General features: G+C 37.1%; 1 protein-coding gene across 2 annotated transcripts in view; it reads right to left on the bottom strand.

Annotated features, from left to right (window-relative positions):
* USP14 (ubiquitin specific peptidase 14) overlaps positions 1–18,562 on the bottom strand; it is a 56,073-nt gene that overhangs the window by 3,974 nt on the left and 33,537 nt on the right. For both annotated transcript variants that reach the window (NM_005151.4, NM_001037334.2), the window contains 10 exons: positions 17,756–17,814; positions 13,889–14,019; positions 12,960–13,040; positions 12,524–12,609; positions 11,340–11,454; positions 7,711–7,776; positions 7,466–7,558; positions 5,964–6,092; positions 625–685; positions 163–270 (listed from right to left, as the gene is read on the bottom strand). In NM_005151.4, coding sequence (NP_005142.1) covers positions 163–270; positions 625–685; positions 5,964–6,092; positions 7,466–7,558; positions 7,711–7,776; positions 11,340–11,454; positions 12,524–12,609; positions 12,960–13,040; positions 13,889–14,019; positions 17,756–17,814 — 929 coding nt within the window. The remainder of the gene's footprint in view (positions 1–162; positions 271–624; positions 686–5,963; positions 6,093–7,465; positions 7,559–7,710; positions 7,777–11,339; positions 11,455–12,523; positions 12,610–12,959; positions 13,041–13,888; positions 14,020–17,755; positions 17,815–18,562) is intronic.

Raw genomic sequence — 18,562 nt, 5'->3', positions numbered from 1 at the left:
TAAGTATTAAGAGAGGCAAACCTCATAAACCAAAGCTCTTTGGGGCTTCAAGAATGTAAAGTGGTTCTGAGACCCAAAGTTTGAAAACCACACTGCTATAAAATTTATAATAAATGAACTGTTAAAATAATATTGAACAGTTGAAAAAAGAATACCCTTTACCTTGTTTCCTTTTCACCCATGATACATAATGACCTGAAGAACTAGACCTTCCCTGGTGTGTTAGTACTGCTTGTAAGTCATAGTATCCACAATTATTGGAGCCAATATCTAAAGAAAGATGTAAATCCATTAATATTAGACAATGAATAGACATGTGCCTTCTCAAGCTAAGTAACAAGAATAACTCTAAAGTTCACATTACGAAAGTATTATCAGAATCCAATAAGATACTACTGTCCAATCATAGTTAAGGCTTCATGATTGATGTTTTAATAAGTAACTTACTCATAGAACTGTATGCCAATGAGTAAATTTACTATATGTCATTAAGGTAAATTGTTCAAGAAACCTGACATTTTGTTTGAAAAGCACATCAGAATAAGTAAATATGGGGTAAGATGTAAATTTTACCTTAAAAAGACCCACATACAATAACTCAATTAAAATGAGAATGTTACTTACCATCAGCAAAAGAAAAGGGTTCATACTTAACTTCTTTCTGGGGACTACTCTTTTTGTCACTCTGAGGAGAAAAAAATGTTTAATTTTAAATCATGATTTTGGAAATAAAATTTGAATTCTCTGTAAGTGTTCAATTTCATAAATATTTACTGTCTACAGTGCACAGAGACAAAATACAGTCTACCTTCCAAATTACTAAAATGATATAACCACAGTTAAAACTGTAAACCCAGCAGTCCTACACTTCAACAATATAAAATCTTGTTACAGTACAGTAACAGACACCCTGAATGTGATGACCAATTTTAAACCATTAAAGTGAAAGCGTACCAGTGAATACAGCAGTACAGTTAAACAGTGCTCTAGGGCAGAAAAGGAAAAACCCAATTCCCCAGTGTTACCAAAATACTGTCAAACCACAGAGGTGGGGGGAAAAAACAACTACCTCTAAAACAAGAATTCCTGCAATTTGTATTAAACCTCCTGAGCCATGTCCACTTACCACGCCAGCACAAATGAACTGAAATATTTTTCAGCAAAGACTTACCTACATTAAAGAGGTATGATTTAAATTAGACAAGGACTCTTAGGAGGAACTCACTGCTTCAACTCATTTTAGCATGCAACATGAGAAAAATAACTTATCTAGGAATACAGCACAAAGTTCTTTAAAACTATAATGGTAATGAAGACAATGCCAGCAGCTTACAGGTAGCTGTGATGGCAAGAAGTCAAAGGATTCCACAACAAAAAATGGCAACTAGGTTAATCACATCTTTTTTATACAGATAATGAAATCACCTACAGCAATCACTGAAAAAACTATACAAAGAAACACATTTAAAAACATAAAGTAAAACAGGATTCTAAAACACAGTTCAAGTAACCCACAAGAAGACAAAAAAAAAAAGGCAAAACATCAAAAAAGCAGAATTAAACCCTAACATGTCGATGATTGCACTAAATGTAAATAGTCTATACCTAAATCACATTTAAATTTAATATAATTTAGGCCGGGTATAGTGGCTTACGCCGGGGCGAGTGGATCACTTGAGATCAGGAGCTCGAGACCAGCCTGGCCAACATGATGAAACCCTGTGTCTAATAAAAATACAAAAATTAGCCAGGCATGGTGGCACTCGCCTGTAATCCCAGCTACTCGGGACGCTGAGGCATGAGAATTGCTTGAACCCAGGAGGCAGAGGTTGCACTGAGCCGGGATCGTACCTATGCACTCCAGCCTGGGCGACAGAGCAAGACTCAGTCTCAAATAAATAAATAAATGTAATAGAATTTAAATCAAGTAAGTGTGTTCTGTCACCACAATGGCATCAAACTAGAATCAACAGAAACATAACAGGAAAATTACTTAGACCCTTCTAAATAACCAATGGCCAAAGAGGAAGTCTCAAGATAAATTTTTAAAAATACAAGGAACAGAATGAAAATAAAAATACCATGTATCAAAATTCATAGGATATAGTGAAATCACTGCTGAAAGGGAAATTTATATCACAAGGCAAGCAGAATAAAGGAAATAAGAGCAGAAATCAATACAACTAAAAACAGAAAATAGAGAAAAATCCATGAAACAAAGCCAATTCTTTGAAGATATCAATAAAATTAATAATCCTCAAGCAAGGGGGACAAACACAAATTACTAATATCAGCAATGAAACGGGATGGATCTCACTCACTAAACACTCTACAGACATCAAAAGGGTAATAAATACTAGAAACAATTCTACATACAAATTTGATAAGCTTATGAAATGGATCAATTCTGGGAAAACAATTTACAAAAACAAACACAATATGAAATAGATCATTTGAATAGCCCTATATCTATGAAGGAAATTAAATTTGAAATGTAAAAACTCCTGAAAATGTGCCTGCCTATGTTTAGGCAATAGAAAAAAAATAAATAAAAATAAAATAAAATAAAATAAACAAATAAAACTCCTGAAAGTAAAATCTCTAAGCAGACTGTTCCACCAATTCTATCAAATGTTTAAAAAAAAATTAACACCAATTCTACATAATCTCTTCAAAACACTAATGGATAAAAACAGCTAATAAATTCAGCAAAGTCAAGGATTTAAGATCCATATACAAAGTTAATTTTATTTCTATATGCTAGCTTTACTAGCCACTCTAGACAATGAAATTAAGAAAGGAATGCCATTTACAAAAGCATCAAAAAGAATAAACTATTTAGGAATAAATTTAACCAAAAATGTCCAAGGCTTGTACACTGAAAACTATAAAACATTATGAAAAAAATTAAAGACCTAAATGAATAGAAAGACACATGAAGTTTATGGATTGTAAGACTTAATACTTTTTATTTTTTGAGACACAGTCTTACTCAGTCACTCAGACTGGAGTGCAGTGGCACCATTTTGGCTCACTATGACCTCCATTTCCCATGCTCAAGTGATCCTCCCACCTTAGCCTTCTGAACAGCTGGGACTACAGGCACACGCCACCACGCCTGGCTAATTTCTGTATTTTTTGTGGAGACAGGGTTTTGCCATGTTGCCCAGGCTGGTCTCCAACTTCTGGACTCAAGCAATCTGCCCACCTTGGCCTCCCAAAGTGCTGAGATTAGTCTTAATACTATTAAGATAGTAATACTTTTTAATTGATCCACAGATTCCGTGTAATCCCCGTCAATCTTTTTTGAAGAAATGGACAAGCTGATCCTAAAATATACATGGAAATGCAAGGGACTCAGAATAGCTAAAATAACTTTCAAAAAGAAGAACAAAAGTGAAGGCTGATACTTCACAATTTCAAGCCTTATTAGAAAACTACAGTAATCAAGTCAGTCTGGTATGAGCATCAGGACAGACATATAGACCAATGGAATAAAATTAATAGTCTAGAAATACACTCATAAATACAGATGGTCAAATTAATCTCTACAAAGGTTCCAAGACCATCTGATGGGCAAAGAACAGTCTTCTTAAAAAATGGTGCTGAGACAACCAGATATTCACATGCAAAACAATGAATCTGAACCCACACCTCACACTATATAAAAAGTTAACCCTCAATGGATCAAAGACCTAAATGGAAGAACTAAAACCACAGAACTCTCAGAAAAAAACATACGTATAAATCTCTGAGGGCATGGACTGGGCAATGTTGCCCAGACTGGAGGGCAGTGGCGTGATCTCAGCTCACTACAACCTCTGCCTCCCCAGTTCAAGCGATTCTCCTGCCTCAGCCTCCCAAGTAGCTGGGATTATAGGTCCGCACCACCATACCCAGCTAATTTTTTGTATTTTTAGTAGAGACAGGGTTTCACCATGTTTGCCAGGCTGGTCTCGAACCCCTGACCTCAAGTGATCTGCCTGTCTCAGCCTCCTAAAGTGCTGGGATTACAGGTGAGAGCCACCATGCCGAGCCCGGCAATGCTTTCTTAGATATGACACCAATAGCACAAGCAACTAAAGAAAAAAATAGACTGGATTTCATAAAAATTAAAAAAACCTTTCTTCTGCAAAAGACCCTAGGTTAAGAGGATGAAAACATAAGCTACAGACTAGGAGAAAATATTCACAAACCACATATCCAACAAAGGTCTAGAATATGGAGAACTCTCAAAATTCAAGAGTAAAAAAACAGTACAATTAGAAAATAGGGAAAAGACAAGAGGAAGCATTTTACAAAAGAGGATATACAGATAGCAAATAAACACATGAAGACATGCTCAACTTCATCAGCCACTAGGAAGGTGCAAAGGAAAACACAGTATCACTATAAACCTATCCAATGGCTGAAATGAAAAATAGTGACAACACCAAATGCTGGTGAGAATGCAGAGAAAGTGAATCAGTCTCACCTTGCTGGTGGAAATGTAAAATGGTACAGCCACTCTAGAAAACATCTGGCAGTTTCCTGAAAAACTAAACATGCAACTACCATGCAATCTAACAACTGCATTCCTAGGCATTCATTCCAGAGAAATGGAACTTACGTTTACATTAAAACCTGTACACGAATGTTTACAGCAGGTTTATTCATCACAGACAAACACTAGAAACAACCCAGGTGTTCTTCAATAGGTGAATGGTGAAGCAGATTGTGGTAAATTCACACCAGGGAATACTGATCAGCAATGAAATGGAAGGAGCAACTGATATGCACAACACCCTGGATGAGTCGCCAGAGAATTATGCTGAGTGAGAAAGGTTATATTAAAAAGTGGAAGAGTTTTTATTTCGTTTGTATAATTTTTTTTTAGAAACAGAGTCTTGCTTTGTTATACAGGTTGGAGTGCTGTGGCACAATCATGGCTCATTACAGCATTTAACTCTTGGTCTCAAGCGATCCTCTCATCTCAGCCTCCCAAGTAGCTAGAACTACCGGTGTATGCCACCACATCCAACTGATTTTTTTTATTTTCATATTTTGTAGAGACAGGGTTTCACTACGTTGCCCAGGACAGTCTCGAACTCCTGGCCTAAAGTGATCCTCCTGCCTCAGATTCCCAAAGTCCTGGGATTACTAGCGTGAGCCACCATGCCTGGCCAACTTTCTTGAAATGACAAAAATTATAGAAATGAACGGGTTGGTAGTTGTCAGGAATTAAGGAAGGGGTAGGGCAGAAGAAAAGTGGCCCTGTGGCAATAATGCAAGATCTTTGTGGTGATGGAAATGTACTGTATTTTGACTGCATCAAGGTCAACACTAGGTAAGGTTTTACGTGAAGTACTTTGAGGAGATAAGTATAAAAGGAATATGAGCTACAGATTACAGGGGGAAGGAAAATATTAAGCTTATTCTACCACAAAGGACTCATTTATTCTAAGTAGAGTTCTGTTTCTCATGCTAAAATACACCTAAAGGCCAGGTGTGGTGCCTCATGCCTATAATCCCCAGCACTCTGGGAGGCCTAGGTGGGCAGATCGCCTGAGCTCAGGAGTTCGAGACTAGCCTCAGCAACATGGCAAAACCCTGTCTCTACCAAAAATACAAAAAAATAGCTGGGCATGGTGGCGCACGCCTGTGGTCCCAGCTACTTGGGAGGGTGAGGTGGGAGGATCATTTGCGCCTGGGAGGTTGAGACTGCAGTGAGCCTGAGTGACAAAGGAAGACCTTGTCACAAAAAAAAAAAAAGGAAAATAAAACACATGCAAAACTTTAAAGATCTGCACTGATATATGGAGGATGTGTATACCTGCTAATTGTAATACAGATTGATCCAAATAATACTATACAAAGTATAGTTCTGAAGGAAAAATGAAGCAGGAAAAAAAAGACAGAGTAATTGCTGAGCACTGATGGGAGATTAAGATATTAAGAGTATAAAGTCAGCAGTAAGAACCTACTGTATTTGGCTGCTGATTCACTTTTTTATCTTCTAGATCCTTGAATTTGGATCGAAAAGACACCATTTTCTCTTGAAGTTCTGGTGTACACAGTTCATACATATCCAACATAAGAGGAAATTTAACATCCTATATACAAACAAACAAAAAACATGTGTAAACACATTTATAAAGATATTTATTTAAAGTATCACATATCTGAAGTAATGCTTTCATAATTCAGATACAGTTGAAAATAAAATCTGTGAAAATCACTTGGAAATCTGCAGTTGAAACCTCTTAAGAGTGCCTATTTTCAAGAATGATCTGGTTCTAACTTTTTTAAGGTGAGAAATTTCTAAAACATGTTTTTCCATTAAATACTCTAACCCACAAAACTAACCACAGAGGAAGTACCAAAATTTACCTGAGAAAAGAAACATCTCAGAAATATTGGACAAGCTGCTGTGAAAATAATGGACCTCCCAAACTGGAATAAACTTATGGTTTTTTTTTTTTATTTGAAATACAACTTTACATAGAAGTAATAGTGATATAGTTCAATAGCTTATAGTAGTATATATTTAAAGTATACAACACTAGATACTTCAACTACATTTAACCTTCTCATACAACGCTAAGTATACTGGAAAATATACTAAGAATTTAAGCTCAAAAGGCTAAAATGATAGATAGGCCCCTCCCAGGACTCTATGGAGATGTAGCAGAACTACAACTCAACAAAAACAGTCAGATTCTGAGGCTGGATCCTAAATCAAGGGATTACAATTTAAGTACTCTTTGGGCACCAGTGATTTAACTCTTTCTCCTTTCACCTGAAAGAAAGGAACTCTTTGGGAGGCCAAAGCGGGCGGATCAAGAGGTCAGGAGATTGAGACCACGGTGAAACCCCATCTCTACTAAAAATACAAAAAAATTAGCCGGGCACGGTGGCGGGCGCCTGTAGTCCCAGCTACTCGGGAGGTTGAGGCTGGAGAATGGCATGAACCCAGGAGGCAGAGCTTGCAGTGAGCCAAGATAGCGCCACTGCACTCCAGCCTGGGTGACAGAGCGAGACTCCGTCTCAAAAAAAAAAAGAAAGAAACCACCTAGAGTATAGTGCAGAGTTATCACTCCCTACCTCACACCCATCTCCAAGCCTACTGAATCAGTATCCCTGAAGCTGAGGACGTGGTCTAGGGCACTATTTCTGGGTAGTGCAGGAGAGCCATCAGAATTGTATATGAATCTTTTGAAAAATATAATATCCTAGGCCCCACCGAAGACCTACCCAGATGTTTGGGGGTGAGGGAGAAGCCAGGTGTGTGTACAGTTAAAAATAAAAAAGACAATAGATAATTCTAATATACGTTCTGAGTTAAGAATCACTTGTCTAATATTAGCTCCCCTAAATATTTCAAAGAAAGCTTAACTATTCCTAAAGGAATAATGAAAGCAATTGTGAGTTAGCAATTACCTTCAAAGAATTACATTTCTTATACAAAGTAAAGTTCATTACTAACCTTAAGAACTTTGGCATTCACAGATTCCTTCTCTTTATAAAAAAATCGAACCATCTGAATGGTCAAGTAAGCAGGCAGCCGGCTGATCTTGGACTGAGGAGACAAAATGTAAAGAAATCCCATTACATCAAAATACCATACAAGTTTTAATTATTTGGTGGTAAAAATTAAGACTGGATAAAATTAATTAACTGGAAATATTTCAGTGAAGCGGAATTTGGCTTCGAAAGGACTGCATAACTTACAGATTTGATATACAAGGCATTTCTTTGCAACGTTGGAGACTGTTTGGTGATTTCTTCCTGAAGTCGCTAAGAAAGAACATAACAGAAGACCAAACATTAGTTTTAAAAATTTTATTTCTGCAATATAGAATCACACCAGTAAGCCTTTTAAAAACTAGCACTACCTAAGAGGCAATATACAGTACATCAATGGGTTTATACCACTGAGACACAATTTGATGACAATATGGGAAGACTTTTAGATACTGTTCAATTCTTACAAGGCATCAAATAATTTACGTTGTTGTGGATTCCTCCGAGTGTAAATACTGTTTGCTCTTTTTTAGCTATGCCCCAAATGATGCTTAGATTCAGAGAATTTTATATTGTATTTTATATAACAAAGCTGTCATTCCTGTTTATTATCAGAATATTCACTCTAGAGGAAAATTAAGAGAGCCCAAGAAACTCCTGTTCTTTACGTTTTATGCATAAAAGCCAATCAGCACCAATGAATTATTGTTAAATTTGAAAAAAGTCATAACACAGAAACCTCTGTTAACCTAACAGATGTGGGAAAGCCTTTAGCTGCTGCACATATCTTAACCAGCATGATCACCTTTCTGCTTCTTACAGCCCGTGTAACAGTGGAAACGGTATTTATCCCTCTGGGCATCATTTGGAAAAGGTGGTAGTGGTAATCAATGTTATAGTGTTATTGTTAGAATTACAGTCAGTACATGTAGAAAACCTGGTAAAATATTTGGCATATACTCTACATTTAACAAACATTCACTACTATTTCTAATGTCACAGAAAGAATTAGCACTACTTATGTGCTCTGCTTTAAGAAAACAAACAAAAAAGAAATTAGAATTAAAATAACCTACTGGTAATGTTTAAGCATGTTACACTTGTATAATTTTAAAGTCTGATTTTTTAAAATTACTAATCATATTACAAAAGGAATCACTGTGGAGTAGCTTTTTAACATTTAACCAAGTTTATTCAGCAGCAAAGCAGTGGAGAAACGAAGCCAAATTACTCAAGAATTATCAGAACAAAAGATAAAATATCTTAAAAGTTATAAAGGAAATAAATACATTCTAGGAATACAGGTTTTTCAAGAAAGTATATCTGGTGAAATCTTATTATTACCACCAATCCACTATCATCTAGACCTTCTGGGTATGTTCGGTTTTCCTATACTTTTACAAAATTGTGAAGAAAATACCATCCTGGAGAGTCCCTGCCAAAGCACTCCACTCCACACTCTCCAGTTAACACTGAGACTTCATTTGCTGGTATATCCTGAAACTTGCACACCATGCCTTACATGATTTGGCTCCTGGGGGTTAAGAAGTTTTGTGTGTTTTTAAATGAATTTCTCTTAAAAGTCACCATGTTCATATCCACACTGGCTCAAAACTCTCCCCTCGGTATCATAAGACAGAGCGTGACTCACTCACTCTTCTTCTTATGCCCTTTAACAACCCTTCCCCTTGCCAACCTTATCCCAAACTATAGATGAGAGCCCCCAGATAACAAATCATCTTGTTTATCAACATAATCCATGTCCCACTTCAGTGTTTATCAACCCACCTCCTCTGCCCAAACTAGGCCTCTGCACAGAGGACCTATTCCAATGTCTCATCATTTTTCACTGACTTTTCTTCCTTCAAGACTTCTCTTTATTGGTCATGGTTAGAGGAGACAGCAAAGAGGATCAACCAGGATTTTTAAAAATTCTGCCCTCCAGGCCCTTCTTCAAATATCTAGATGTTGCAATGGCTAACTTTTATTCATGCATTTATTTTTCATACAACTGTGTTTAGGAAGAAGCTAACTTTTAAAATAAATAATCCTGGCTGGGCACGGTGGCTCATTCCTATAATCCCAGCACTTTGGGAGGCCGAGGTGGGCGGATCACAAGGTCAGGAGATTGAGACCATCCAGGCTAACATGACAAAACCCTGTCTCTATCAAAAATACCAAAAATCAGCCAGGTGTGGTGGCACGCACCTGTAGTCCCAGCTACTCAGGAGGCTAAGGCAGGAGAATCTCTTGAACCTGGGAGTCAGAGGTTGCAGTGAGCCGAGATTGTGCCACTGCACTCCAGCTTGGGTGACAGAGAGAGACTCCGTCTCAAAATAAGTAAATAAATAAATAAAATAAAATAAAATAAACAATCCTAATTATCAGTGCTTTTGAAGTGGAATCACATGAACTATAATTTGAAAACTATTAAAAGGTATCAGTTCAAATGGGGAGATCCTTCGAGAGATATACATATCCCCAAAGCACACCAAATTAGTAAGTCAGCAAGCAAAACCGTATGTTTTATCCATGGGCTTATTAGCAGAGTGGAAGCTGACATTTTATGTGAGTCCGTATTCTTTAGTATGGCACTGGAAAAGCAGCACTAACTGAATAATGAAAGAAGCAAGTTCTAGTTCTGGCTCTGCCAAAAGCCAATTAGGTTACTTTAAATTCCAGGGCCTCAACTGCAAGACAGTGCAATGGCAGAACGACTACATGCCCTGATTTGCACAGAAAAATCCCAGTTTATATTGCATAATTACTAACATACCCTCATTCACTCTCCACCAAAGTGTCCTGGTTTAGACAATACATTATATGATCACCCTTAATGGTTAAGAGCACAAACCCACAAACAACCCTATAGTTACTCTCATTTTCACGTAAGAAAACAGTAGCTTAGATTAAGTAATTTTCCTTAAAGTTAACAGTTCAGCTAAGTTATAGGGCCCATGAAAACAACTATCTCTAAGGAAAAATCTTAACAAACATGTAAACTATTCAACAAACATTTCTTGAGTGCTTTAAAATAAAGCAAGGTACAGCACAAAGCACTAGGTGCTTCTTCACAGTGTGAAGCAGGAACACCCAGTGATTAAAAAGTGAGATGTCCCAATATTTGTTAGCATATGCAACCATGTCAATAATGCTTTTGTCTATGAAATGAAGAGCTAGTTGAAGTTTGTTTGATTTCTGACTATACAGTTGATTTTGTTAGTCACGGTAATTATGTTCTACAAAGTCACCACAAGCACTGAATCAATGAATACTGAACCACTGCTCCTAGGGGAAATACAGGATTAGATTCCCGCCAGCCTTTGATCACAACATTTTCATCAACCAATCAATACATAACCTTGTTTTATGTGTGTTTCTGTTTAAGGACACCTTATTTCACATATTGTGTTGATTAATTAACATTGAACTCAGAGCCAACAGTGCAACGCAGGCCCAACTGAAGCTTCTCTAACAAGTATATTTTCTCAGTAAGGCACATCACAGCCTTCCCACACCTAGAAACACTAGACAGCACTCAGCCCTGTGCTTGGGGGGTCATCTTAAACAGTGAAATAACCAACAAAAAGCAGAAATTTTTTTTTAAAACAACAGTTCTAACATTCCTGCTAAAATGGTATTTGTTTACCAAGCTGAAACAAGAAGGCCAAGTACTTGTTTGACCTCAGATGGGACTGTGTGTATCGGGCAACTCAAAATGCGTATTGCTCTGCACATGTCTACAAATGACCATTAAAGCCCAGTGAATAATGACTTTGGCTTACTCGCAAACATGGAATTCACAAACAACAAGGATGGACTGAGATTGTCCTTACCAATTTAAGTCCTGTAAAAAGATACTTGACTTCCTGATTGATAAAACAGCTAAGCTGAAGTTGATTTTCCTTTCCTTTGGTGACTTCTTCTTCTTCAGATTCTGTACATTTCATGCTTTGTAAACTAAGATAAGGAATATGCCAACGGGTATTCAATTTGTTATATACTCTTGAATATAATACATTATCCTAATTCCATTAAAATTAATAGTATCATTCATTGGCATTTAAAACCTTTTAGTCTCCCAAGATTCATTTCAACATACTTAAGAATGTTCATTTGGCTACCAACAATTCTAGAAACAACAATGAGTAATAAATGTGTATTAAAAGATAAACTGCAATAAACTCTAAACTATAAGCTGGTATTTAGTATGGTCTTATAATGGTCTTAGAAGCCCAAAGGTACATAAATTGTTTCTAAGTTTTTCTAACCATGACCTAGAAGACAGTACTTTCCTGATTCATGTTTTATTAACTGGTTCAATCTCATGTATAGTTGATACACACCCTTTTATAAAATTAAAAAATTCTTTTTTTATTTTAAAAGTTATTATTAACAGTCACCTTGACATATAAGAAATTAATTCTTTATAAGGTGAATGAAAATGAGGTAGACTCTGCTAAAGATGTTCTTAGGAAAAAATAATAAATATCCTTCAAGAAATAAATTTAAAATAATTATATTAATCAAAACATAATGAATAATCCCATTATCCTTCAAGATCACTCCAATAGGTATATTTTTCCAAATTCCTAATTTCCATTATTGTATTTTTTTAGGTATAAAAACCTCTGGGCTGGGCGCGGTGGCTCACACCTGGAGGCCAAGGTGGGTAGATCAACTAAAGTCAGGAGTTCAATACCAGCCTGACCAAGAGGGTGAAACCCCATCTCTACTAAAAATACAAAAAATTAGCTGGGTATGGTGGCATGCACCTGTAATCCCAGCTACTTGGGAGGCTGAGGCAGAACTGTTTGAACCCAGGAGGTGGAGGTTGCAGTGAGTCAAGATCACACCATTGCAATCCAGCCTGGGCGACAAGAGCGAAACTCCGTCTCAAAGAAAAAAAACCTCTGAAGAATTTTTCTTCTACCCACCACCAATCAATCAGCCAATGATGCTATTTATGCCAATTCTAATAAGGTATGAGTATAGTCTATATCTTGGCTCATAAGGATACGTAGTTTCAAACTCAACACCGAAGAACTGATCGATTAAACTTTTCTTTTTAGAAGGTGTCGCTGCCGATGCAGATGAGGAGTCTGTCTGCAAAAATTAAAATAAAAATTCCAACTTTATATAAATATTAATGTAGATTTTCTTCCACACAATCCAGTTTAGTAATACATATTTTTTTAAAAATGTAGTCCCTTACAGTAAAATCCTTCAAAAAACATTACCAAAAATCAACAATGAATTAAGTTTAATAAATAATACATTAAATTTAAATGTCGTATGCAAGCTTCCAAATTCTGACTACAGATTGAGCATCTAAAGTATTTAAATACACATCTACCTATAAGATGGAACTTATTTTAAGCCTTTGAGGGGAAAAAAAATAAAAAAAAAAATCAAGGTATAACGAAAGTCTATAATCACAAATATATTTCAATTACCTCTTTAACAGAATCATCCTCTATTGCTTCCAATTTCTGTTGCAATACTCGCATCATTTGTATCCAACATTCATTAGCATCCTGTAATGTAAAAAAAGACAAAGTAAGTAATCCTGGCAGTGAATGATCTACAAAGTTCTTCCAAAATAATCACTGTCTCCTAGGCAAGAAAGTGGTTTCCTTCTTTAAAAATATTAAGCCAAATAAGACATACGATCTTCCAAAAAATAAAGCATTCTAGAATAGCTTATTCATTCAACAGACATCTGCTGAGCTCCAATTTGTGCTAAACACTGTACTAGATACTCAGCATAATAGCAGTGAATATATAAAATTCAAGTAGAGATAAGGGTTATGAAGCGAAAAAAAGCAGGATGGAAACAGTAAGTGATCAGGGGAAGGGAAGTGTGCTGTTCCAATAAGGTCATCAGGGAAAGCCTAAGGCTTTGGCCTTGGAGCCATGAGACCTGAAGGAGGTGAGGGAGCTGGTCTTGCACTTATCTGACAGCCAAAGAACAAGAGCAAAGGCCCTGCAGGAAGAGGGCACTTGAAAGGTTTAAGGAAGCCTGTGCAGCTGGAGAGAGGCAAGCAAGGGACAGAGTGGTAGTGATGAACTCAGAGAGAAAGCCAGGGGCTAGAGGATTTAGGACTGCGGTAGAAAATCACTAGGGAGTACTGAACAAGGGGCCAACATAATCCTATCGTCATTTTAAAAAGGACATTGCGGGCTGTGTAGAGAAACTGCAAAGGGGCAAAGGCAGAAGCCAGATATCAGTTAAGACTACTGTGCGGCTCCAGGCAAGAGACAGCCGTGGCATGAACTAGAGAAGACTGATGTTTATATTTCGAACTATGTTCCAGTAAGTACGGTAAATGTAGGAAACCTAAGTTTTACATTTACAGAATGAAAAATACCTTGCCCTAATTACCTGTTGAAGATACTGTCCTTGTTCACCTTTCTCGGCAAACTGTGGGAAAGCCATGTGCAAAAACTGCAGTAGAATAATAGGTGGAATACTGGAAGAAGTTTTATCCATGGAATCAAACAAATCTCTAAGGGCTTAAAGACAAAGCAAACATTGCCTTAGTAAAACAGTCACATATTTAATACACGCGACTGTAAATTAATTTTAATTAATACAAACAAAAACTTACTTAATTTTTTTTTTTTTTGAGATGGAGTCTTGGTCCGTTGCCCAGGCTGGAGTGCAGTGGCGCGATCTCGGCTCACCGCAACCTCCGCCTTCTGGGTTCAAGCAATTCTCCTGCCTCAGCCTCCAGAGTAGCTGGGATTACAGGCACACGCCACCATTCCCGGCTAATTTTTTGTATTTTTTTTTTTAGTAGAGATGGGGTTTCACCATGCTGGCCAGGCTCTGGTCTCCAACTCCTGACCTCATGATCCGCTCACTTCAGCCTGTAACCCCAGCTATTCGGGAGGCTGAGGCAGGAGAACTGCTTGAACACAGAAGGGCCTCCCGAGTAGCTGGGATTACAGGAGCATGCCACCATGCCTGGCTAATTTTTGCATTTTTTTTAGTAGAGACAGGGTTTCACCATGTTGGCCAGGCTGGTCTCGAACTCCTGACCTTGTGATCCGCCAGCCTCGGCCTCCCAAAGTGCTGGGATTACAGGTGTGAGCCACCACACCCAGCTGCTTAAACATTTTTAAGTGTATCTACTCTTTGACAATTGTTGGACTCTCAATAAGAAAAAAAAAAATCCTTTTTAAATCTTAACTCACCAGAAGACCTTACAAAGCAATCACTAGCTGTAAACAACTTCTGAGCCCTCCCTCTCTCTTTCTTCTTGCCAGCCTTTGTCTTCCCAAACAAAGCAGGGTGTTTTAATTCAGTACAAAGAACACATAACCTCTGTTTAGGGACAAACAGGCATAATGTAATTGTTCTGCTACTCTGCCAAGATCAGGATAGCGGGTCACCTCTCCCAACTTACCTCCCTTTAAACCTATAGTTGGTTCTCATCTACTCAACTCCTGGAGATTTAAATCTGGGTCCTTAAACAGCTGACTCTACTGGACAGCTAAGAACCAAAACTACTAAGAATTTACCTTCTTCAGAAAACCTTCTTTCCACTTACCCCTCTCAGCAGCATGAATCTCACAGTCATGGACTAGTCTGTTCTCTTGGATTTCGAACCATTTCTCCTCTGCGGACTTCCTAGTGATCATACCTTGCCCTCCTTCATGTACAGCAAAACTCTTCCTCTAGCTTATCTCAACTTGTATGTTTTATTAATACCCAAGATGTGAAATGTCACCTATCATCATTATACAGACTGAACCCACCAAATACAGCATCTTAGCACAAAGCAGGGGCTCAATAAAATGTTCCTGAATAACAAAACTGAACACAATGTTTAAAAAATATTTTTGGAGGGAAGGCTGAAATTTGGGCATCACTACCAAGCTAATTATTTTTTTAAATAAAAGCCTACATTTTAACAATATTTTATACACTACTCAAAAAAACAGATGATTTAAGATCTAGTATATACCATCAACAGAGCATCTCAAAAGTATTTCATTAGTTTGAAAGAAAAAGGTCAAGAAGAAATATAGATTAAAAGAGACTAATAAGATATAACAACTAAATGCAATGTGGGATCTTAAACTGAATCCTGAAGAAGGAAAAAAAAAAAACTTTTTTAATGGACAATACTAGGACAGTTGGCAAAATCTGAATAAAGACTGTATTTTAGGGTACTGTGTGAAACTCCCAAATTCTAAAAAAAAGTTTGTTTTTTGAGACAGTGTCTCAGTCTGTTGCCCAGGCTGGAGTACACTGACACAATCTCAGCTCACTGTAACCTCTGCCTCCCAGGTTCAAGCGATTCTCGTGCCTCAGCCTCCCGAGTAGCTGGGATTACAGACATGCACCAACACACCCGGCTAATTTTTGCATTTTTAGTAGAGACGGGGTTTCGCCATGTTGGCCAGGCTGGTCTCAAACCCCTGGCCTTAAGTGATCTGCCCGCCTCAGCCTCCCAAAATGCTGGGATTACAAGCATGAGCCACCGCACCCAGCCCAGATTCTGAAAATTAAGAATTGTCTTGTGGTTATGAATGTCCTTATTGTTAGGAAATACATACTGAAATATTCAGGATGTCTGGCGCCTTATTCTAAAATGGTTCAGAAAAAAATTACATGCATAACGGAAAAATGAGAAACCAAATGCGACTAAAAGTTAGTAACTGGTGAATTCTTACAACTTTTCTGTAAATTTAAATGTATTTCAAAACAAAAAGTTAAAAAATCAAGAAGCAAAAATGTAAAGAACAGTATTTTTCATCGCATCAATACTATTAGCCGCATATATGATGCTGCAGAAGCTGCTGAAATTCTAAGTTATTCTAAGATACATGAGCTGTCAAATGAAGTAGATATAAATGATCACACTTTCTCACTAAAAACTTCATTTCAACAAGTAAGTCTACTTTAGGAAAAAAAGTTAGAGTAAAATCTCTCTAACTGCAAATGACACAAAAGAAACCTGTTTATAATATCAAAAATCAATGGTTGACAACAATGAGATAACACTTCATACCTCTTGGATGGCTATAGTCAAAAAGACATACAATACTAAGTACTGGTAAGGAGACAGAGAAATCAGAACCCTCATACCCTTCTGGGGGAAATGTAAAACGGTGGGACTCCTTTGGAAAATTCTGGCAGTTCCTCAAAAGGTTAAATATAGTAATCATATGACCCAGTAATTAACTCCACTCCTAGATGCATACCAAAGAGAAATGAAAGCATTTGTCCACACCAAGACTTGTACACGACTGTCAGGAGTATTTGTAATAGTCGAAAAGCAGAAACAACCCAAATATCCACCAACGATGAATGGATAAATGATATGTGGCTTGTCCATACAAGGCACTCTTATTTAGCAATAAAAAAGAATGAAGTACTGATACATGCCATAATGTGGATGAATCCTGAAAACATTATACTAAGTGAAAGACACCAGTCACAAGAGACTACATATTATTTAATTCCATTTAGAGTAAAAGTCCAGAGTAGGCAAATCTAGAGAGAAATAACACATAGATAAATGGGTAGGGCTAGAAATGGGAAAGGAGGTGACTGCTAGATGTTATGAAGTTGCTTTTTGGAATGATAATGTTCTAAAATTAACATTTTAGTAATATTTGCACAACTCTGTGGATAAACTAAAAAACAATGAATTATACACTTTAAATGGGCAGATTTTATGATATGTACACTATATCAATAAAGCTGTTAGAGAGAGAGTAAAAAAAAAGGCATGGCTGTAAAACCCTATTGACCTAACCCAAAGATTTAACAGTATTAAAATGTCCAAAATTAGGTGGGGGTTATATTCTCTTATGCAATGAAGAAACCAGTTATTTCTATCCTTTAAGATTACTATTTCTCCTCACACACATCACTTCTTTACACCAATATTCACTAAGACCCTCTTTTATAATGATACATGGATTATGATAAAACCCGTCGCTGGCTATCCCCAGAGTCAACCCCAAAGATATGTATTATACAAATCAAACCTGAAGCCAAAATTATAATTTAATCCAAAAAAATCCAAAGATTATTTTTCACAAACGACAGACATCATTGATTTATAATCTGGACGATAAAATAAGTACCAAGTTGTTTAACTTAAGTATAATGTACACTCCAGGCTTAATGAGGTGATGTTTTACAAAAGACATTCTGTAAACTGCAAAGGATTGTGAGCGAAAAATAGAATGTCTTACTCCTATCAAAAAGTAGTATATTTAGTATACAAACCTGCAGTAATATACTGCGCTGAAGCCATTTCCCCTGAAGCTCTCAAGGCACCTGCATACCTAGGAACATTAAAGCCGAGTTAAACAATAGAATTCAATTCATTCTAACACTCAAATGGGAAGAAACCAGTTAAAAGGAGTTCTTATGACACCCTCAACTGCAAGTTTCTCAGAGTTGTTCCCACCTTTCCTTTTCTTCTCTTCTGGTCTTGCATGACCAGAAATATGGAGAAAAAAAGGAATGCTGAAAAGGGAATTTAGATGGAGCCTACTTTAAGCTCTTTCCCTTTGTCAAACTCATATAAAACGAACATTTTATTTTATTTTTTATTTTCTGAGACAGAGTTTTGCTCTTGTCGCCCAGGTTGGAGTGCAATGGCATGATCTTGACTCACTGCAACCTCTACCTCCTGGGTTCAAGCAATTTCTCCTGCCTCAGCCTCCCAAGCAGCTGGGATTACAGGCGTCCACCATCATGCCCAGCTAATTTTTGTATTTCTAGTAGAGACAGGGTTTCACCATGTTGGGCAGGCTGGTCTCAAACTCCTGACCTCAGGTGATCCACCCACATCGGCCTCCCAAAGTGCTGGGATTACAGGCATGAGCCACTGTACCCAGCTAAAACAAACATTTTCTGAAAGTATTGTGAAACAACACTATTCATTAATTACAAAGAAAATAAAATAACACAATCTCTGAAATAACTTGGAAGAAATAAGCATTAGATCAAAAACATTCAATCAAAAATCATACACCTACATTCAGCATTAGCTTGCTGTGTATCATTAAATAGGTCACTTAAGGTTGT

Source organism: Homo sapiens, chromosome 18, assembly GCF_000001405.40.
Source record: "Homo sapiens chromosome 18, GRCh38.p14 Primary Assembly".
Classification (NCBI taxonomy): Eukaryota; Metazoa; Chordata; class Mammalia; order Primates; family Hominidae; genus Homo; species Homo sapiens.
Note: the sequence above shows the minus strand (reverse complement) of the source record. Positions and strands in the feature narration are given on the sequence as shown.